A 21,084-nucleotide genomic window follows, 5' to 3' on the forward strand; every position below is an offset into this window, starting at 1 on the left:
TTCCATGCAGCAGCATGGAAGAGTGTTTTTTTGGTTTTTGGGTCAAGTCATGACCCAAAATTGCATGGTGAGAATGATGGGAGAGAGCTCACATGTTCCTTGAGGGTAGGGAAGAGCAGAGGTGGATGACTGCCCACTGAGGAGACAATGATCAAGCCAGGGCTGGAGGGATGTGATGGTGTTGGAAGGAAGGAGATACCAGAAGAGCATTTTGGACAGGAGAAACAGCATGTGCTAAGGCCAGTGATGTATCTTGCAAACAAACAATTCACGTTCACACCCTGGTCATTCCCTCATTTGCTGTGTGCCCTTTGGTGAGTGACTTCACCTCCCTGGGCTTCATTCTCTTATATGTAAAATGGGGATAGCAACAACGCCTAGCTCATGGGGCTGGGGGGGCATTGTAAGGATTCAAAGAGTTACTCTATGTAGCACTGGGATTTTTTTCCCCCAGATAGTGGCTTAAACAAGATAAGGATTTTTTTTTTTTCTCCTCAAACTGAGAGGTGTGGAAGCAGGCAGGCTAGTAAAAGTTAGACACCTAAAGTCCTTTCATCTCATGGCTCTGCCATGTGTGGATTCCTGTGCCCAAGGTAGCCTCATGGCACAGAATGGCTGCTGGAGCTCCAGCCATTGGGTCCACATTCCGGGCAGCAGAATGGAACTATGTTTTATTTACAGTCAAGTGTACAAGCCTTAGGGCAACAGCTCAAAGAGCTAGTCACCCATCACCCATATGACTACTTCCCAGATAGATCAGGATACAGCACACCTCCATCACTCACAGAAAGTTCACTTGTGTGCTTTGGAGCTTTAAAAGCTTTTGAAAAGCTCCCCAGGTAAAGCATATGGGGACACTTTTGGGTGTGATGGATCCGCTCATCTTGATTGTGGTGAGGGTTTCACGGATGTGTGATTGTGTCAAAGCTCAGCAAACCATATGCTTACATGATACGTGAGCTATAAGTGAAGGTGTGGCTCAATCTGTATTCCCAGCGCTTTGAGAAACCAAGGTGGGAGGATTGCTTGAGGCCAGGAGTTTGAGACCAGCCTGGATAACATAGCAAGACCTTGTCTCTACAAAAATAAAAAAATTAGCTGGGCATGGTGGCACGTGCACATGATCCCAGCTACTGGAGTGGGGCTGAGGTGGGAGGATCACTTGAGCCCAGGAGGTCAAGGCTGCAGTGAGCTGAGATTGCACCACTGCACTCCAGCCTGGGGGACAGACACCCTGTCTCAAAAAAAAGAAAAAAAAGTGCAAGACAAGTGGATCACTGGAGCTCAGGAGTTCAAGACCAGCCTGAGCAACATGGCGAAACCTCGTCTCTACTAAAAATAGAAAAATTAGTCAGTCGTGGTGGCAGAAGCCTGTAGTCTCTGTAGTCCCAGCTACTTGGGAGGCTGAGATGGGAGAATCACCTGAGCCCAGGAAGTAGAGGTTGCAGTGAGCTGTGATCGTGCCAGCGCACTCCAGCCTGACAACAGAGTGAGACTCCATCAAAACAAAAAACAAAAAACAAAACAAAACAAAACAAAAAACCCGTCTCTACTAAAAAATACAAAAATTAGCCCAGCATGATGGCGTGCGCCTGTAGTCCCAGCTACTCGAGAGGCTGAGGCGGGAGAATTGCTTGAACCCAGGAGGCAGAGGTTGCAGTGAGCTGAGATCGTGCCACTGCACTTCAGCCTGGCAACGGAGCAAGACTCCATCTCAAAAAAAAAAAAAAAAAAAAAAAAAAGAAGCTCCCTCACCCAGCCACATGGATGGAAACAGGCATGGAGGGTGAAGGATGAATGAAATTTGGTGACAACTTGTCTGGAAGCTCAGGATGACTACAGGAGCCCCCAGGTGGCTTCCCTGTCTGTTTTGCCCTCCCCAAGCAGGTCTCCTGGGCAGATTCAATTTGCTGGGTTCACTGTCCCCTTGTCCCTGCAGGTCAGGTGGACACCCTGCTGAGGAACTTCCTGCCTTGCTACCGTGGGCAGCTGGCAGCGTCTGTCCTGCGGCAGATCTCTCGAGAGCTGGGCCCTCAGGAGCCGACCGGAAGCCAGTTGCTACGCAGCAAAGTGGGTGTTGTGGGGGCAGAGGACGTTTGAGTGTTAGGGGAGGGTCCTGGAGGAGCCCTCCCTAGGCCATGCTTCCAACCTCAGACCTTTGCCATTGCCATAGGATGACTTTAAATATGCATTGTTTAAATAAACATTCACTGAGCAGCCAAGCAAGGTGGCTCCCGTCTGTAATCCCAGCACTTTGGGAGGCCAAGGCAGGCGGATCACCAGAGGTCAAGAGTTCAAGACCAGCCTCGCCAACATGGTGAAACCCCGAAACCCCATCTCTACTAAAAATACAAAAAAAAATTTAGCCAGACCCTGTAGCGCGCACCTGTAGTCCCAGCTACTTGGGAGGCTGAGGCAGGAGAATCGTTTGAACCTGGGAGGTGGAGATTGCAGTGAGCCCAGATTGTGCCACTGCATTCCAGCCTAGGCAACAGAGCTAGACTCTGTCAAACACACACACACACACACACACACACACACACACACACACACACACAACCATTCACTGAGCATGTAATTCATGCCACATCATGGGCTGGGCATGAGGACACACAGCCCTTGTCCAGTGACAAGGACAGATCCTGCGGTAACCTCTGGGGTTCACAACCTGATGGGAGGTAGAAGACTCCAAACAAGTTAGCATATCATGATGTGGAATGGAGTAACATTTTCTTTTAGATGGAGTTTTGCTCTCTTGCCCAGGCTGTAGTTCAGTGGCGCAATCTTAGCTCACTGCCACCTCCACCTCCCAGGTTCAAGCGATTCTCGTGCCTCAGCCTCCCGAGTAGCTGGGACCACAGGCGCCCGCCACCATGCCTGGGTAATTTTTGTATTTTTGGTAGAGACGGGGTTTCACCATGTTGGCCAGGCTGATCTCGAACTCCTGACCTCAAGTGATCTCCCCACCTTGGCCTCCCAAAGTGCTGGGATTACAAGCGTGAGCGCCTGGCCTCCAGACATCTCTGGAGCCATGAGGTTGTGTGCCCCACACACCTCACTCAGTCTTCACCCCTTTGGTAGACAGGTCTTTGACTGATGAGGAAACTGAGGCACAGAGAGGCCAAATGGCCTTCTCGAGGTCACACTACAGAGGTGTGATTTCAACCTGGGATCCACGCTTATTACTAATGCTTGGTCCCACGCTCCAGTTGGGGCTGAGATTTTTTGCCTCTCCGGAATGCCCCACTTCCCAGCTGTGCCCACCCAGGGCGGGGGGCTCCAGGAGCTGTGGACACAGAGCCCCTTCCTGCCTAGGACTCTCTCTGTCCAGCCTGGGGCATCACGGGACCTTAGCGTCACCCCAGGATACAGCGGGTGTCTGGGTGGTCGGGCCACAGGGACATCAGCCCACAGCCCCCTGACACCCACTGCTCCCTCTTTCTGCAGAAGCTGCCCCGAGTCCGTGAGCACCGAGGACCCCTGACCCAGCTTCGGGGCCACCCACCCCGGTGGCAGCCGATCTTCTGTGTTCTGCGTGGGGACGGCCGCCTAGAGTGGTTCAGCCACAAGGAGGTGCGTGATTGGCACGTGGCCTTTCTACTTCTGGGTCCCTCCTTCCCACCCCCGTCAGCCTCAAGGTTTGTGGGATCCATATCTCAGCATAGCCCCACCTCTATCAATCACCCAGGATGAATCTTGTGCCCCTATGTGTTTGGCCTGTTGTAGGCAACCATCTCGTCCCATCCCCTGCTGTGCTGGGTGGGTAAACTGAGGCCCAGGCCAGGGATAGGGTCGTGGTCAGTATCAGAGCTGTGGTTTCAACCTCTTGGGGCCTTTGCAAGTCACACCTCTGGCCGCTCTGCTTTCTGGCTGGGGAGCTTGGAGCGATCACTACCTTTCTGAAACTCAGTTTCCACTTCTGTGAAATGGGATGTTTCACACCATGTAGGGCTTTGAGGGTTCAACAAGAGGGTCCTCAGACAGCACTTGGGACCGGACCGGCACGTGGGGAGCCCGTGGGTGCTGGGAGCTCAGGGACTGAGGGAGGAAGGGAGGGAAAGGGGAAAGGGAAGGAGGGAGAGAGAGGGCAAGAACAGGAGGGAGGAAGGGAGAAAGTTATGGGGGCAGAGGTAGGATGGATGGAGGGAGAGAGGAGGAAAAAAAAAGGGAGGGAGAGCCGGGCCTCGTGGCTCACGCCTATAATCCCAGCCCTTTGGGAGGCTGAGGCAAATAGATCCCTTCAGCCCAGGAGTTCAAGAACAGCCTGGCCAACATGGTGAAACTCCGTCTCTACTAAAAATACAAAACCTAGGGCCAGGCACGGTGGCTCAGGCCTGTAATGCCAACACTTTGGGAGACCAAGGCAAGTGGATCACCTGAGGTCAGGAGTTCAAGACCAGCCTGGGCAACATGGCGAAACCCCGTCTCAATTAAAAATACAAAAATTAGCCTGCTGTGGTGGCGGGTGCCTGTAATCCCAGCTACTCGGGAGGCTGAGGTGGAAGAATCACTTGAACTTGGGAGGTGGAGGTTGCGGTGAGCTGAGATCGCGCCATCGCACTCCAGCCTGGGTGACAGAGTGAGACTCTGTCTCAAAAACAAAAAAAAAAAAAAAGAGAGAGGGAGGAATGGAGGAAAGGAGAGGGAGGGAGGGGTGGGAGGGGCAGAGGATTTTTCAGCTCATCTGAAATCTTCCCTTGATGGTATAGTTGGGACACAGAAGCCACAGTTCAGACCTGTCCCAGGTTGGTTCTCTGGGTACCTTTTGTAGGAATATGAAAACGGGGGCCACTGCCTTGGCTCAACAGCCCTGACAGGATACACGCTCCTGACTTCCCAGCGAGAATATCTCCGCCTTTTGGATGCTCTCTGCCCTGAATCCTTGGGTAAGGGTCCCGGGGTTCCCAGGAACAGGTTTCTCCACCCCAGCATCATTAACATGTGGGGCCAGATCATTCTCTGCGGTGGGGGCGTCCCGTGTACAGCAGGGCAGTAAGCAGCATCCCTGGCTTCCACCCACTCCCTGCCTGCAGCAGCCCCCACCCTGGGTGCGACAACCACCAATGTCTCCAGCATTGCCAAGTGTCTCCCGGGGGCAGCGTTGCTACGGGTGAGCATCCCTACTCTGGAAAACAAACAAACAAACAAACAAACAAACACCCACTCTTGCAAGGGTGAGGGGGAGAGTTAGGTCATGGGACCAGAATCAGAATAGCAAAGGATAAAAACAGTAAAATCTGGGATGGGTGCACTGTCTCATGCCTGTAGTCCCAGCTACTCGGGAGGCTGAGGCGGGAGGATCGCTTAAGCCTGGGAGGTGGTGGCAGTGAGCCGAGATTGCCCCACTGCACTCCAGCCTGGGCAATAGACTGAAACCCCATCTCCAAAAACAACAACAAAAACAATTAAAAACAATAGGCTGGGCACGGTGGCTCATGCCTATAATCCCACCACTTTGGGAGGCCGAGGTGGGCGGATCACTTGAGGTCAGGAGTTCGAGACTAGCCTGGCCAACGTGGTGAAACCTCGTCTCTACTAAAAATACAAAAATTAGCCGGTGTAATGACATGCGCCTGTAATCCGAGCACTTTGGGGGACCAAGGCAGGTGGATCACCTGAGGTCAGGAGGAGACCTCATGAGGCCAGCCTGACCAATATGGTGAAACCCTGTCTCTACTAAAAATACAAAAGGTAGGCCGGGCGTGGTGGCTCACGCCTGTAATCCCAGCACTTTGGGAGGCTGAGGCGGGCAGATCATGAAGTCAGGAGATCAAGACCATCCTGGCTAACATGGTGAAACCCCATCTCTACTAAAAATACAAAAAATTAGCCAGTTGTGGTGGCGGGCACCTGTAGTCCCAACTACTCAGGAGGCTGAGGCAGGAGAATGGCGTGAACCCGGGAGGCAGAGCTTGCAGTGAGCCGAGATCGCGCCACTGCACTCCAGCCAGGGTGACAGAGCAAGACTCCATCTCAAAAAAAAAAAAAAAAAGAAAAGAAAAGAAATTAGAGAAGGAACAATTCCAATTCCAGGCATGTGCCTGGCAAATAACTCAGCATTGGGCTTGCACTATCTCATAAAGTCTGCCCAGCAGGCAGGCCCATCACTAACTACCCCATTTCACAGATAAGGACATTGAGGCTGAGGATTGTCACACAGTCAAGGGCAGAGCTAGAATTGCACCCTCTGCTTCACCTAAAAGCTATCTTGCTGTCAAAGGACACAAAAATGTAGTCTGCTGAGATGTTGATGCTGCTCAAAACATCAGAATCTGCCCAAATACCCATCTCTTGAGGGTTGATTAAATATATTATGGCCTGGCCCTTGGTAATGAACAGTGAGCTGGCTGTGGCGGCATATGCCTGTAGTCCCAGGTACTTGGGAGGCAGAGACAGGAGGATCCCCTGAGGCCAGGAGTTCCAGACCAGCCTGGGTAACATAGTGAGACCCCCATCTCCACAAACATTTTAAAAAATAAAATTACCTAGGTGTGGTGGCATGTGCCGGTAGTCCCAGCTACTCAGAAGGCAGAGGCGGGAGGATCACTTGAGCCCAGGAGTTAGGGGCTGCTGTGAACTATGATCACACCATTGAACTCCAGCAGCCTGGGCAACAGAGCCAGGAGCTGTCTCTATTTAAATAAATAAATAAATAAATAAAAACCTGGGTGCGGTGGCTCATGCCTGTAATCCCAGCACTTTGGGAGGCCAAGGCGGGCAGATCACCTGAGGTCCCAGCCTGGCCAACATGGCGAAACCCCACCTCTACTAAAAATACAAAAATTAGCCGAGCGTGGTGGCACACGCCTATAATCCCAGCTACTCAGGAGACCGAGGCAGGAGAATTGCTTGAACCTGGGAGGCAGAGGTTATAGTGAGCCAAGACAGCGCCACTTTACTCCAGCATGGGAGACAGAGCAAGACTCTGTCAAAAAAAAAAAAAAAAAGCCAGGTGGCTCACGCCTGCAGTCTCAGCACTTTGAGAGGCCAAAGTGGGAGGATCACTCGAGCCTAGGAGTTTGAGGCCACCGTGAGCTATGATCACACCACTGTATTCCAGCCTGGGCAGCAGAGGAAGACTCCATCTCTGAAATAAAAATAAATTAAAATTTAAAAACAATAAATAAAAGAAAGCAAAACTTAGCCACTGAAAGTGTCCCAGACGTATCAAGGAGCAAAATGACCAGTTCCAAGGCAGAAAATCCCATCTTGTCACAGATATGCACCTCACACAGTTTCACGCAGATTTTAGAATCTGGAGAAATGTCCCCTAAACTATTAACAGTCATTATCGTCTCTGGGGGCTGAGGCTGGAAGACTGAGATGATCAGGAGCTTCCACCTTCTGGACTATTGATTTCCTTTTCTTTTCTTCTTCTTTTTGTTTTTGGACAGAGTCTTGCTCTTGCTCTGTCTCCCAGGCTCAAGTGCAGTGGCATGATCTCTGCTCACTGCAACCTCCGCCTCCCAGGCTCAAGTGATCCTCCTGCCTCAACCTCCTGAGTAGCTGAGACCATAGGCACCTGCCACCACACCCTGTAAATTTTGTGTTTTAGTAGAGACGGGGTTTCACCACGTTGGCCAGGCTGGTCTCGAACTCCTGACCTCACGTGATCCGCCTGCCTCAGGCTCCCAAAGTGCTGGGATTACAGGCATGACCCACCTCGCCTGGCCTGGATTGTTGGGTTTTATCGCAGTCTGTGTTTATCATCCTGGAAAGTGGAACAAAACACTGGAGACAGGATACCCTAAATATTTCTTTTCATATACTTATGTTTTTAATAAAAAATATCTTGTGCAGGCTGGTCTGGAACTCCTGGGCCCAAGGGATCCTCCCACTTCAGCCTCCAAAGGTGCTGGGATTACAGGCATGAGCCACCGCGGCTGGTCCCCAAATAAATTAACCAAAGCTGAATTCACTTATTTTGTCTTGTCAATAATTCTAGGTCATCGGTATCACTGTTAACCCCATTTGGGCAGGAAAATCACAGCTCATAGAGCTGTGTGCCCTAGTCATAGAGCTAGAAAGTAGCTTGGCCAGGCTGGGCACAATGGCTCACACCTGTAATCCTAGTACTTTGGGAGGCTGAGGCAGGCAGATCGCTTGAGCTCAGGAGTTCAAGACCAGCCTGGGTAACATAGTGAGACCCTGTCCCTTTTGTTAAAAAAAGAAAGAAAATGAAAGTGGTTTGGTCAGGTTGGAACCCGGGTCTGACTGACTCCAAAACCCCACATAAAGCCGGACGACTCAGATAACATCCCAGCTTGAATGGATTGGTGGTGGCTGCCAGGAGGACTGTATTAAGGATGCTAAGGCTGGAAAACAGTTCTGGGATGGATTGGTGATGTCTGCCTTGGGCATGCAGTGGAAGAAGGTGACCCTGCCTCCCCCAAAACTGTGCCCCACCCAGTGCTGTTGGAATAAGGATGGTGGCAAGTATCGTGGTATGACTCATATTTATCGAGCAACTGCCCATGCCAGGGACTGCTGTATGCATTTCAGGGGTATTTTCTCCTAGTGAATGAACGTCTAGAAGATGCGACCTCCTGTTTGTTTTCAGGAGACCATACTCAGGAAGAGCCTGACTCCCTCTTGGAAGTGCCTGTGAGCTTCCCGCTGTTCCTGCAGCACCCCTTCCGCCGGCACCTCTGCTTCTCTGCAGCCACCAGGGAGGCACAGCATGCCTGGAGGCTGGCCCTGCAGGGTGGCATCCGGCTTCAGGGCATAGGTGGGTCTCAGGACGGGTCAGACATTTGTGGGGCTAATGGTCTGGGGTCAGATGGCTCAGCCTCTGTTGGCTCGGGACCTCTCCAGGCCTCACTTTCTTTACCCAGAAAATGGGTTTTTAGGCCAGGTGTGGTGGTTCATGCCTGTAATTCTAGCATTTTGGGAGGCCGAGGCAGGCAGATCACCCAATGTCAGGAGTTCGAGACCAGCCTGGACAACATGGCGAAATCCTGTCTCTACTAAAAATACAAAAATTAGCTGGGCATGGTGGAAGGCACCTGTAATCCCAGCCACTCGGGAGGCTGAGGCAGGAGAATCACTTGAACCCGGGAGGTGGAGGTTGCAGTGAGCCAAGATCGCGGCACTGCACTCCAGCCTGGGCAACAAGAGCAAAACTCCATCACACACACACACACACACGAGAAGAAAATGGGTTGTTGGGGGAGCCAGAAGGGACACCAGGCAGTTGTGAGTGACTAGGGCTGTAACAGAGACACACAGGGTGCTATGGGAGCTCAGCCTGAGGGATGGGGGTTAGAGCAGGCTTCCCAGATGAGGGGAAGCTGGGGTCTGTAAAAGATGAAGGACTAGCCGCTGGGCGCGGTGGCTCACACCTGTAATCCCAGCACTTTGGGAGGCCGAGGCGGGAGGATCACGAGGTCAGGAGATTGAGACCATCCTCGCTAACACGGTGAAACCCCATCTCTACTAAAAATACAAAAAATTAGCCGAGCGTGGTGGCAGGCGCCTGTAGTCCCAGCTACTCGGGAGGCTGAGGCAGGAGAATGGCATGAACCCAGGAGGTGGAGCTTGCAGTAAGCCGAGATGGTGCCACTGCACTCCAGCCTGGGCAACAGAGTGAGACTCTGTCTTAAAAAAAAAAAAAAAAAAAGATGAGGGGCCAGCCAGATGAAGAAGGGGAATAGGTCAGGCACAGTGGCGTGGTGGCATGAGCTTGTGGTCTCAGCTACTCAGGAGGCTTAGGTGGGAGGATCACTTGAGCCCAGGACTTGGAGGCTGCAGTAAGCAATGATCATGCTACCGCACTTCAGCCTGAGCAACAGAGAGACCCCCTGAGAAAGAGAGAGAAAAGAAAAGAAAAGAGGAGAGAAGAGAACAGAAGAAAGAAAAGAAGGAAAAAGAAAGGAAAGAAAAAGAAAAGAAAGGAGAAAGAAAGAAGAAAGAAAGCAAGAAAGAAAGAAAGAGAAAGAAAGAAAGAGAGGGAGGGAGGGAAAGGAAGGAAGAAAGGGAGGAAGGGAAAGAGAGAAAGAAAAAAGTAGGGGAGCAGCAGGACTGACACACACAGTTGGGCAGGTTGTTGACTGCACAAACGATGCAACTAGAGGAACAGCTAGTGGCTGCAGTATGTATGGCCTGAACTGCTGGTCACGGGGCTGTGGCTGCCAGTAGAGGGTTCCTTCTAAGTTGAATAAACATGATGGTCTTGGGGGACTGTGTTCCCTGTGGAGGGCATTGCCTATGCAAAGTTCCAGAGATGGGTGAGACTTGGGTGTTGGGGACCTGGCCAGGCGGAGGGCTTCCTCCCCGGGCCATCGGGAGCCAGGCAGGGGAGCTACCAGCAGGCACTGAGGAGCAGCCCCTCTCAGTCCTGCAGCGAAGCCAGGCCCCTGCTGCCCGGGCCTTCCTGGACGCCGTCCGACTCTACCGGCAGCACCAAGGCCACTTTGGCGACGACGACGTGACCCTAGGCTCAGACGCCGAGGTTAGTGCCCCGCGAGGCCGCACCCGGGACCCCCAGGACCCTCCCGGCCGACCGCGGCGCCCATGGCCCCCTCTCCTGCAGGTGCTGACCGCGGTGCTGATGCGGGAGCAACTTCCCGCGCTGCGAGCCCAGACCCTTCCTGGCCTGCGGGGGGCAGGCCGCGCCCGCGCCTGGGCCTGGACCGAGGTATGCACGGCGTCCGGATCCGGGATAGGGGGCGGGATGCGGGCGTTCGGGTTCCCCTCCCACGACTGTCGCCTAAACCCTCTCCCGATCTCTCTGACCCCCATCCCCGCCCCGTGTCTCGGCTTTGTCCCCCCTCGACCGGTCTGGGCAGCTTCTAGACGCCGTTCACGCAGCTGTCCTGGCCGGGGCCTCCGCCGGGCTCTGCGCCTTCCAGCCCGAAAAGGACGAGCTGCTTGCGTCGCTGGAGAAGACGATCCGCCCGGACGTGGACCAGCTGCTGCGGCAGCGGGCGCGTGTGGCGGGGCGGCTGAGGAGTGAGGCCCTGGGGCGGAGCCTGGGCTGGGAGGGGCGAGGCGATGCTGGGGAAAAAGGGGCGTGACCTAAGCGAAGAATGGGCTTGAAGTTATGTAAAATGGGGGCGTGGTCAGAGAGGGGCGGGGCCAAGCATAGGATGTGCAAGGGAACGGGTGGGGAAGGGGCGGGGCCAAAGCGAGGCGGTGGGCGTGGTCTTGTGGTCGAGGCACTGGGGGCGGGGCCTAGAGTCTGTCCGGAGGAAACCAGGTCCTAAGGGGGCTGCTTGGATACAAAAAGGGCGGGGCCTCAGCGGGGGATAGGCGTGGCCTTGAGGCTGAGGCTCGAGGAGTTGAGGCCCAGAGCCGGGCCAATGCGGGTGGGCGGGCCTGGGAAGTAGAACAGCGGAGGAGGGGCGGGGGTAAAGGCTGATACATGGGCAGCGGTGGGCCAAGGTGGCCCCTACAAAGACCCAGGTGGGAATCCTGACTGGGCCCGCCCCTCCGAGGCTCAGTTTTCTCATCATTACAATGGGTAGAAGAGGGCGCTCAGCGTCCCTGCTCGCGTCCCCCTCGCGAGGGCCCCTGCACATCCCCATCTGTGAGGCACCTTGCGGAGGGGACTCCAGACCAGTGTCTTCCACTCCCAGCGGATATCAGGGGACCGCTCGAGTCGTGCCTGCGCCGGGAGGTGGACCCGCAGCTGCCCCGGGTCGTGCAGACCCTGCTGCGCACCGTGGAAGCCTCGCTCGAGGCGGTGCGGACCCTCCTGGCTCAAGGCATGGACCGACTGTCCCACCGCCTGCGCCAGAGCCCCTCAGGCACGCGGCTGCGCAGGGAGGTGAGCTCCCGTGGGTAGGGGTTCAGTGAGCCAGAGGGTGATGTGTTAACTTGAGTCTTTCCTGTGGAGAATCTTCACTGAATTTGTTCTAGGCTGCTTTTTACTTATTGTGGACCCATCACCATGCTATGGTCAGTGGAGCACAGTTTTTGTTTGTTTTTTGTTTTTGAGACAGGGGTGTCGCTCTGTCACCCTGGCTGAAGTGTAGTGGCACAATCTTAACTCACTGCAGCCTCGACCTCCCGGGCTTAATCAATCCTCTTACTTTAGCATCCCAAGTAGCTGGAAATACAGGCGCACGCCACCAAGCCCAGCTAATTTTTTAATTTTTTTGTAGAGATGGGGGTCTTGCTTTGTTGCCCAGGCTGGTCTCAAACTCCTGGGCTCAAGCGATCTGCCTGCATTGGCCTCCCAAAGTGCTGGGATTACAGGCTTGAGCCACCGCACTGGCCATGGAACACAGTTTAAAACGTGAGGGGAAAGGAGTTGGATGAGAAAAGTGGCAATTTAGCAAAATCAGTCTGAGGTCATCCCCCAAACTCCTCCTCCCATTCCCCTGTAGGGCAACAACCCAGAGAATTCTGCTCAAGGCAGGTCACCTCAGTGCATCTGATATACAAGTAGCACCTAAAATACATACATACATATATACATACATACATACATACATACATACATACATACATACATAGAATAGCACCTACTATGTACCAGGCAACCTTCAACTCATTCTTAAGCCTCCATTTCCTAATCACCTTCTCCAGGAACTGTCCCTGGTCCCCTCTATGTCTTGCAGTAGCCTGTGCTTCTCTTATCACAGCCTGACTTTCATACCACTGTGGGTGATTTCTATACTCTGTCTCCCCTAATTTGTAAGCAGAGACTGGGTTAGAGTATTCCATTTCTGCAGCCCCAGGGCCCAGCACAGACAGAACATGAGATGGTATTCACAGATCTGGGCCAGGAAATGTGCTCATTTCCTCTCAATTGTGCCAGCATCGCTTGTTATAGTTTTTTCAGGTTTTATCATTTTATGTCCATGACACCGTGCCTCACTGCTACTTATTTTATTTTATTTTATTTTATTTTATTTTATTTTATTTTATTTTATTTTATTTTATTTTTGAGACAGAGTCTCATTTTGCCGCCCAGGCTGAAGTGCAGTGGTGCGATCTTGGCTCACTGCAACCTCCTGGGTTCAAGCAATTCTCATGCCTCAGCCTCCCAAGTAGCTGGGAGTACAGGTGTGTGCCACTACACCTAGCTAATTTTTGTATTTTTAGTTGAGACAGGGTTTCACCATGCTGGCCAGGCTGGTATCGAACTCCTCACCTCAAGTGATCCACCCACCTCGGCCTCCCAAACTGATGGGACTACAGGTGTGAGCCACCATGCCTGGCCCACCACTATTGTATTATGAGTTTCTTTGGTGACAGCTGAGACGGGATGTATTTTCATTTGTGTTTCTCCTTTGGTGAATTGGTAATGGGGTCCCTGGCCCTTTGCAATCAGCTGACAGCATTTTTCCCCCAAAACTGCTTCCGGGAGCACAGGTTTACTCATTTGGGGAGATGCCGTGGGACTTGGCGCTGATGCAGACATGCTACCGTGAGGCCGAGCGGAGCCGGGGGCGCTTGGGGCAGCTGGCAGCACCGTTTGGCTTTCTGGGGATGCAGAGCCTCGTGTTTGGGGCCCAAGATCTTGCACAGCAGGTGAGGGTGAGAGGAGGCTGGGATGAGGCCAGGCTGTGAAGACAGCCTCCACTGACCTCCTGCTAAGTGTGCCCTGGAGAGACCACGATGATCGAGACAACTCCGCGGGGCTGCCAGTCTCATGGGGACATGAGCCCGTGACCAGGCAGCAGCCACATGTGGTGGACAGAGCTGGGGCAGGGTGTACAGGGAGCGCCAAGGATGTTCCTGATCCACCTCTGGGGTTGACAGGACTTTCAGGAGGAGGGGACTTCCAACATGGGAGAGCAATGGGAGGAATGGCGTTGCCACCAGTCCCGAGTGAATAGTGTTGAGAGTGCTTGTCTGCATTTGGGGAACGTGGAGCAATTTTTCAGAAATGGGGAAGATAGGCCGGCGACATGGACGGGCAGATCGCGCAGTGCCTTGAGCGTGGGGCTAAGGGGTGAGCTCTTTCCTGAGGGCAATGGGGAGCCAGAGCAGGTATGTGAGCAGGGGGAGGGCATGGCTGGATTTAAGGTTTAGGAAGCTTTGCCTGCCATAGGGAGCACAGGCTGTTGGGGACAGGAAAAGAGGAGGCAGGGAGGAGGCCTGCACCAGGATGGGGGATGTCAGTGGGGAGAAGCAATAAGTGTTTTGAAGTCTGAGATGGGACCTGCTGATGGACATGGTGACAGAAGAAGACAGAGAGTGAGATGATCCAGCACTACCTGGCACAGTTGTTCAGTTTGTGCACTGCACAAAAGCACTCAGTGGAGGAGGCTGAACTCTGGCTGGCTCCCTACTCCCCATTCTGGGCATCCTGGCACCATCTCCCAGAGGGAAGGGGCTTTCTGTCAGTTTGCACATAGTCCCCCACAGACTAGACAATCCCCAGGTCCTGAGAGGAGGGGAAAGGTGTTTCCTGGGACAAGGAGGAGGAGGTTGGGCAGAGGTGGCTGGTTGGAACAGGTTGGATGCTGAGAAGGGGTCAGCTGGGCAGGAGTGGGGCCCGGGAGGCTGGAGCACAGATTCTGGGGTCATCATAGCATCTCCTCCCACAGCTCATGGCTGACGCCGTGGCCACCTTCCTGCAGCTGGCTGACCAGTGTCTGACGACGGCCCTCAACTGTGACCAGGCTGCCCAGAGGCTGGAGAGAGTCAGGGGGCGCGTGCTGAAGGTGTGTTCTGTGGGTACGGGGTGGCATGGGGTGGCAGTGGGCCTGGGTGCTCAGATGGTTGCTGGACGCACCGCTGGGTGTGTTGTGCAGAAATTCAAATCGGACAGCGGGTTGGCGCAGAGGAGGTTCATCCGAGGCTGGGGTCTCTGCATCTTTTTACCTTTTGTGCTGAGCCAACTCGAGCCAGGCTGCAAAAAGGTGAGTTAATGGGAAGTGTGCAAGAGGGTCTGACAGCATCACCATGCATCCACTTAAAGTGGGCAAGAATGCTCTTTGAGGCTGGGCGCAGTGGCTCATGCCTGTAATCCCAGCAATTTGGGAGGCCAAGGCAGGCAGATCACAAGGTCAGGAGTTCGAGACTAGCCTGGCTAACATAGTGAAACCCTGTCTCTACTAAAAATACAAAAAATTAGCCAGGCATGGTGATGGGCGCCTGTAATTCCAGCTACTCAGGAGGCTGAAGCAGGAAAATCGCTTGAACCCGGGAGGGGAAGGTTGCAGTGAGCCGAGATCGCGCCATTGCACTCCAGCCTGGGCGACAGAGTGAAACTCAGTCTCAAAAAAAAAAAAAAAAAAGAATGCTCTTTGATCATTAGAGACCATTTGACCTTAATCCTAGCACTTTGGGAGGCCAAAGTGTGGGGATTGCTTGAGGCCAGGAGATCAGTCTGTACAACATAGTGAAACTCCATCTCTATAAAAATACAGAAGTTAGCCAGGCGTGACAGCATGTGCCTGTGGTCCCAGCTACTCTGGAGGCCAAGAGGTGGGAGGATCAATTGAGCCTAGGAAGTCGAGGCTGCAGTGAGCTAGGATCGCACCACTGCACTCCAGCCTGGGCAACAGAGCAAGGGCCTGTCTCTTTTTAAGAGACTTCCATACCCTGAGCCCTGGAGCTGGGTCAGGTGGCTTTTCTGGGCTTCCACAATGCCCTCTGCTTCACCTATGACGGGGTTCATTACCCTGTGTCTGCCACAGAAGAGCTGGGATGGGTCCCACACATCGCATATCACCTGGTGACATGGGCATCAGTGGAGGGAGGAGGTGGATGGAGAGTGGGTAAGGGTTGGGTGGGGAGTTACCAGGGAGTCAGGAAGGATGTCCCTGTGAAATGAAGGCATGGGCCATGTCCCGGGAAGGGCATTCCAGGCAGAGGGCACAGCATGTGCAAAGGCCCTGAGGCCTGACCATGCCTGGTGTGTTGGAGGAACAGTGACAAGGTGGGTGTGGCTGAAGCTCAGTGAGTGGAAGAGTGGGAAGGAGGTCAGCGGGAGTCCTAGGTACCTAGGCACACAGGGCTCATGGGCACCAGGCGGGTGTCTGACATGGGTACAAACAGAATCCTCTAGAGGAAGTGGCTGGGAATTGGGGAAGTCTCAGCTGAGACACTCATACTATTCCCTGTGAGGTGTGATTTGCTGTGCCTAATTAATCCCATGAATCCTTTCCACAACACTAGAGAATATGGGCCACTGAGTCCATTTTAAAGATAAGGAAACTGAGGCCAGGCGTGGTGGCACATGCCTGTAATAGCAGCACTTTGGGATAGTGAGACCCCACCTCTACAAAAAATACAAGAATTCGCCAGATGTGGTGGTGCACGCCTGTAGTCCAAGCTACTTGGGAGGCCGAGGTGGGAGGATCGCTTGAGCCTGGGAGGTCAAGGCTGCAGCGAGCCATGACTGCACCCCTGTAGTCCAGCCTGGGTGACAGAGAGAGACTATTTTATTTATTTTATTTTATTTTATTTTATTTTATTTTATTTTATTTTATTTTATTTTATTTTTAGACGGAGTCTCACTCTGTCGCCCAGGCTGTAGTGCAGTGGTGTGATCTTGGCTCACTGCAACCTCCACCTCCTAGGTTCAAGCGATCCTCCCATCTCAGCCTCCCAAGTAGCTGGGATTACAGGCACCCGCTATAGGGACCAGCCCCACAGGGTCGGTGGGTCTCTCCCTGTGTGCAGAGACAAGAGAGTGTAGAAATAAAGACACAAGACAAAGAGATAAAAGAAAAGACAGCTGGGCCCGGGGGACCACTACTACCAAGTTGCGGAGACCGGTAGTGGCCCCGAATGTCTGGCTGCGCTGTTATTTATTGGATACAAAGCAAAAGGGGCAGGGTAAAGAGTGTGAGTCATCTCCAATGATAGGTAAGGTCACGTGGGTCATGTGTCCACTGGACAGGGGGCCCCTCCCTGCCTGGCAGCTGAGGCAGAGAGAGAGAGGAGACAAAGAGAAAGACAGCTTAAGCCATTATTTCTGCATATCAGAGACTTTTAGTACTTTCACTAACTGACTACTGCTATCTAGAAGGCAGAGCCAGGTGTACAGGATGGAACACGAAGGCGGACTAGGAGCGAGACCACTGAAGCACAGCATCACAGGGAGACGGTTAGGTCTCTGGATAACTGTGGGCAAGCCTGACTGATATCAGGCCCTCCACAAGAGGTGGAGGAGCAGAGTCTTCTCTAAACTCCCCCGGAGAAAAGGAGACTCCCTTTCCCGGTCTGCTAAGTAGCCGGTGTTTTTCCTTGACACTTTTCGCTACCGCTAGACCACGGTCTGCCTGGCAACAGGCATCTTCCCAGACGCTGGCGTCACCGCTAGACCAAGGAGCCCTTCTGCTGGCCCTGTCCGGGCATAACAGAAGGCTCGCACTCTTGTCTTCTGGTCATACCTCACTATGCCCCCTCAGCTCCTATCTCTGTATGGCCTGGTTTTTCCTAGGTTATGATTGTAGAGTGAGGATTATTATAATATTGGAATAAAGAGTAACTGCTACCAACTAATCATTAATGATATTCATATATAATCATATCTAATATCTATATCTGGTATAACTATTCTTGTTTTATATTTTGTTATACTGGAACAGCTCATGTCCTCGGTCTCTTGCCTCAGCACCTGGGTGGCTTGCCGCCCACAACCCGCCACCACGCCCAGCTAATTTTTGTACTTTTAGTAGAGACGGTGGTTTCACCATGTTGGTCAGGCTGGTCTTGAACTCCTGACCTCATGATCCGCCCACCTCAGCCAACCAAAGTGCTGGGATTACAGGCATGAGCCACCGCACCCGGCCTGTTTATTTTAAAATAAAAATATTTAAAAATAAAGATAAGGAAACTAAGGCCCAAGCCCCGCCCCCCAACCCCACAGCTAATCAGGCCCAGGGCTAGGGCAGAAGCCTGTGTTGTAGGCCTCTAGAGGGGCCCTCCTCTCCATCCGAGCCCCTAACCCGCCATGGTTCCAGGAGCTGCCTGAGTTCGAGGGGGATGTCCTTGCCGTGGGCAGCCAGGCTCTGACCACTGAGGGCATCTATGAGGACGTCATCCGGGGGTGCTTGCTGCAGAGGATTGACCAAGGTGAGTCCCGCCCTGCCATGGCTCAGAGGAGCCTGGCGTCCCTTGGCTGTATGTACCGAGCCCCACCAGGGCCACATCGACTCTCACTTCCTGTGAATACTTGCCATTTGACCTTAAGTCAGGACTTGGCCTGAGGAGGTCCAGGGTAGAGGAGCTCAGAGGGGCAGGGATGGATACTCTCTGAAGGAAGGGCCGTTGGACTGGGGCTGTGAGGGATGTATAGGAGTTCTCAGGATGAGAAGAAGGAGGCAGAGTTCAAAAACTACTGATAGAGGCTGGGTGTGGTGGCTCACACCTGTAATCCCAGCACTTTGGAAGGCTGAGGTGGGCAGATCACTTGAGGTCAGGAGTTTGAGACCAGCCTGTCCAACATGGTGAAACCCCGTCTCTACTAAAAATACAAAAAATTAGCCGGGCATGATGGCACATGCCTGTAGTCCCAGCTACTCGGGAGGCTGAGGCAGCAGAATCGCTTGAACCCAGGAGGCGGAGGTTGCAGTGAGACAAGATCGCGCCACTGCACTGCAGCCTGGCGACAGAACGAGACTATGTCTTTTTTTTTTTTTTTTTTTTTTGAGACAGAGTCTCGCTCTGTCACCCAGGCTGGAGTGCAGTGGAACGATCTTGGCTCACTGCAACCTCTGCCTCCTGGGTTCAAGTGATTCTCCTGCCTCAGCCTCCCGAGTAGCTGGGACTACAGGCATGTGCCACCACGCCCGGCTAATTTTTGTATTTTTAGTAGAGATGGGGTTTCACCATGTTGGTCAGGCTGGTCTCAAACTCCTGACATCGTGATCCTCCCCCCTTGGGCTCCCAAAGTGCTGGGATTACAGGCGTGAGCCACCGCACCCGGCCAAGACTCCATCTTTTATTTTTTATTTTATTTTTGAGACAGAGTCTCACTCTGTCACCCAGGCAGGAGTGCAATGGCATGGTCTCGGCTCACTGCAACCTCCGCCTCCTGGGTTCAAGCCATTCTCCTGTCTCAGCCTCCAAGTAGCTGGGACTACAGGTGCATGCCAGCACACCTGGCTAATTTTTGAATTTTTAGTAGAGATGGGGTTTCACTATGTTGGCCAGGCTGGTCTCGAACTCATGACCTCGTGATCCGCCTGACTTGGCCTCCCAAAGTGCTGGGATTACCGGCGTGAGAGACATCGTCTTAAAACAAACAAAACTACGGATAGACATTTAAATTTATTCATTTAACAACCACTCCCTGTTTTTCTCTGGGCTGGCATTGAGGCCCTAGAGGTTTTCAGACTTGGAGTTGGCCTCTTAGGAGCTCCCGAGCTGGGAAGGAGCTCCAGAAACATCTTTCTCCCTCCTGCTTCCTGAGTTCATTCATGGATTAATTAATGCCCATGATCACTGAGATGTGTGCACTGATTGGGGGGTGAACAGGATGCAGTGGGGATTCAGGGAATGTGAGCATCCATGCAGCCAGCACAAGGGCACGGAGCGGGAGGCTGGAGGCTGCTGGAAGATGCGCAAGGCCTTGAATGACAGGCAGAGGAATTTAGACTTATGGTGCAGGCAGTGGGGAGCCATGGAGGGTGTGTGAGCAGAGGTCAACAGAAGCCAGACTGGAAGTGAGGGAGGAGGCTGAGGCCCCGGTTCTGGGAACAAAGGACAGGCCCGAGCAGGGGCAGCAGCCAAGGGAACAGAGTCTAGGAGGGAGGTGCGGGTGGGAGCTGGAGGTGCCAGAAGTGTTGGGCTTCAGGTGTCACTAAGTGAAGGAGAGGGGTTCCACAAGCCAGGGAAGGTGTGTGGAGAACAGAGGGGAATCTCAAAGAGCCCTCATTTGAAGGAAAGAGGAAGAACAGACATAGAAGGTGAGTTCAGCAGCCAGGCACTGTGGCTCACGCCTGTAAACCCAGCACTTTGGGAGGTTGAGGAGGGTGGATCACTGGAGGTCAGGAGTTTGAGACCAGCTTGGCCAACATGGTGAAACCCCGTCTCTACTAAAAATACAAAAATTAGCTGGGCATGGTGGCACATGCCTGTAGTCCCAGCTACTTGGGAGGCTGAGGCAGGAGAATGGCGTGAACCCAGGAGGCGGAGCTTGCAGTGAGCCGAGATTGCACCACTGCACTCCAGCCTGGGCGACAGAGCGAGACTCCATCTCAAAAAAAAGTTGTTTTTTTTTTTTTAAATAAGGTGAGGTCAGAGAGTTGGGAGACACCCCCATAGATGGTGGGTTCTTGGGAGCCAGGGAATGAGGGAGAGGATGTGTCTGTGAGCATCTAAACAAGAAAAATGGAGCTTCCTTAAAATAGCAGAAGTTTTAAATAGGAATAAAAGCTATTTTCTGACTGCAGAATTAAATCCAGAAACAGTTGACCTCAATAAGTTTCTCTTCCTAAAGATTTTATGTATCCTTAAGTGGGTCCATCCTGAATTGATTTGTGATGTCTGCCTAGAGCAGCATGTTGGGAGGTGGGACTGGCAGTGTCCAGGCTCAGTGAAGGGTGCAGGGATCGGTTAGCAATGTCTGCCATGGGTGCGGGCTTGGAGAGAGGCTCTATGTGAGCCACCTCTTTAGGATTTCTGCTTGAGACATTTGTAGTCTCTCTGGGAAAATGCAGGGAAGCCCCTTGATGCCTGGGCTTCCCCAGGTGTGTCCAAGAGTTCATCTCATTTCAGAATTGAAAAAGACCCTTGGTGCCAATGATGTATCCTGCACTCTGGACGGCTGCTTGGAGGTCCCATGGGAACAGGAGGGAGCAGGTGGGGAACTTCACAGGCTTCTGAAACATGCCAGTGATTGCTGGGGGTGGGGAGGTGGAGGCCCACATGGGGTGTATGGGATTGTCATGAGTGTGGGTTCATGGACGGAACAGAATGCACTTTGTCTCCTTACCCAGCCAGCCTGGCCAAGCTCGTGAACAAGCTCAGTGGGAAGTTGTGGAGTGCATCTGAGCCACAGAGGGACCCTCTAAACCCAGGCTCTGACATGCATGTGAGCTCAGCCCTGGGGGGCTGAGATTGTGGTGAATTTGTGTCCCATCTCTCTCTCTCTCTCTCTCTTTTTTTTTTTTTTGAGACAGAGTCTAGATCTGTTGCCCAGGCTGGAATGCATAATCTCAGCTCACTGCAACC

At 53.0% G+C, this 21,084-nt stretch overlaps 1 protein-coding gene across 16 annotated transcripts in view, besides 4 other annotated features; it reads left to right on the forward strand.

Moving 5' to 3' along the window:
- Positions 1-21,084, forward strand: part of NIBAN3 (niban apoptosis regulator 3) — a 32,237-nt gene that overhangs the window by 5,515 nt on the left and 5,638 nt on the right. For 5 of the 16 annotated variants that reach the window (NM_173544.5, NM_001098524.2, XM_011527786.3 and 2 more), the window contains 13 exons: positions 1,940-2,070; positions 3,448-3,573; positions 4,772-4,886; positions 8,561-8,728; positions 10,335-10,450; positions 10,532-10,636; positions 10,788-10,950; positions 11,577-11,767; positions 13,321-13,479; positions 14,502-14,618; positions 14,709-14,816; positions 17,871-17,982; positions 20,629-20,712. In NM_173544.5, coding sequence (NP_775815.3) covers positions 1,940-2,070; positions 3,448-3,573; positions 4,772-4,886; positions 8,561-8,728; positions 10,335-10,450; positions 10,532-10,636; positions 10,788-10,950; positions 11,577-11,767; positions 13,321-13,479; positions 14,502-14,618; positions 14,709-14,816; positions 17,871-17,982; positions 20,629-20,712 — 1,695 coding nt within the window. 16 annotated transcript variants of the gene reach the window in all.
- Positions 1,959-2,577: an enhancer, noted in NCBI's record as "H3K27ac-H3K4me1 hESC enhancer chr19:17641583-17642201 (GRCh37/hg19 assembly coordinates)". NCBI's record gives its function as "activates a minimal SCP1, AML or CMV promoter by ChIP-STARR-seq in primed H9 embryonic stem cells {active_cell/tissue: H9 hESC(primed)}" and the evidence as "EXISTENCE:reporter gene assay evidence [ECO:0000049][PMID:30033119]".
- Positions 10,472-10,561: a silencer, noted in NCBI's record as "silent region_10352". NCBI's record gives its function as "represses an Ori minimal core promoter by ATAC-STARR-seq in GM12878 lymphoblastoid cells {active_cell/tissue: GM12878}" and the evidence as "EXISTENCE:reporter gene assay evidence [ECO:0000049][PMID:35858748]".
- Positions 10,972-11,291: a silencer, noted in NCBI's record as "silent region_10353". NCBI's record gives its function as "represses an Ori minimal core promoter by ATAC-STARR-seq in GM12878 lymphoblastoid cells {active_cell/tissue: GM12878}" and the evidence as "EXISTENCE:reporter gene assay evidence [ECO:0000049][PMID:35858748]".
- Positions 17,480-17,529: a silencer, noted in NCBI's record as "silent region_10354". NCBI's record gives its function as "represses an Ori minimal core promoter by ATAC-STARR-seq in GM12878 lymphoblastoid cells {active_cell/tissue: GM12878}" and the evidence as "EXISTENCE:reporter gene assay evidence [ECO:0000049][PMID:35858748]".

The sequence above is a fragment of the Homo sapiens genome, chromosome 19, assembly GCF_000001405.40.
Source record: "Homo sapiens chromosome 19, GRCh38.p14 Primary Assembly".
Classification (NCBI taxonomy): domain Eukaryota; kingdom Metazoa; phylum Chordata; class Mammalia; order Primates; family Hominidae; genus Homo; species Homo sapiens.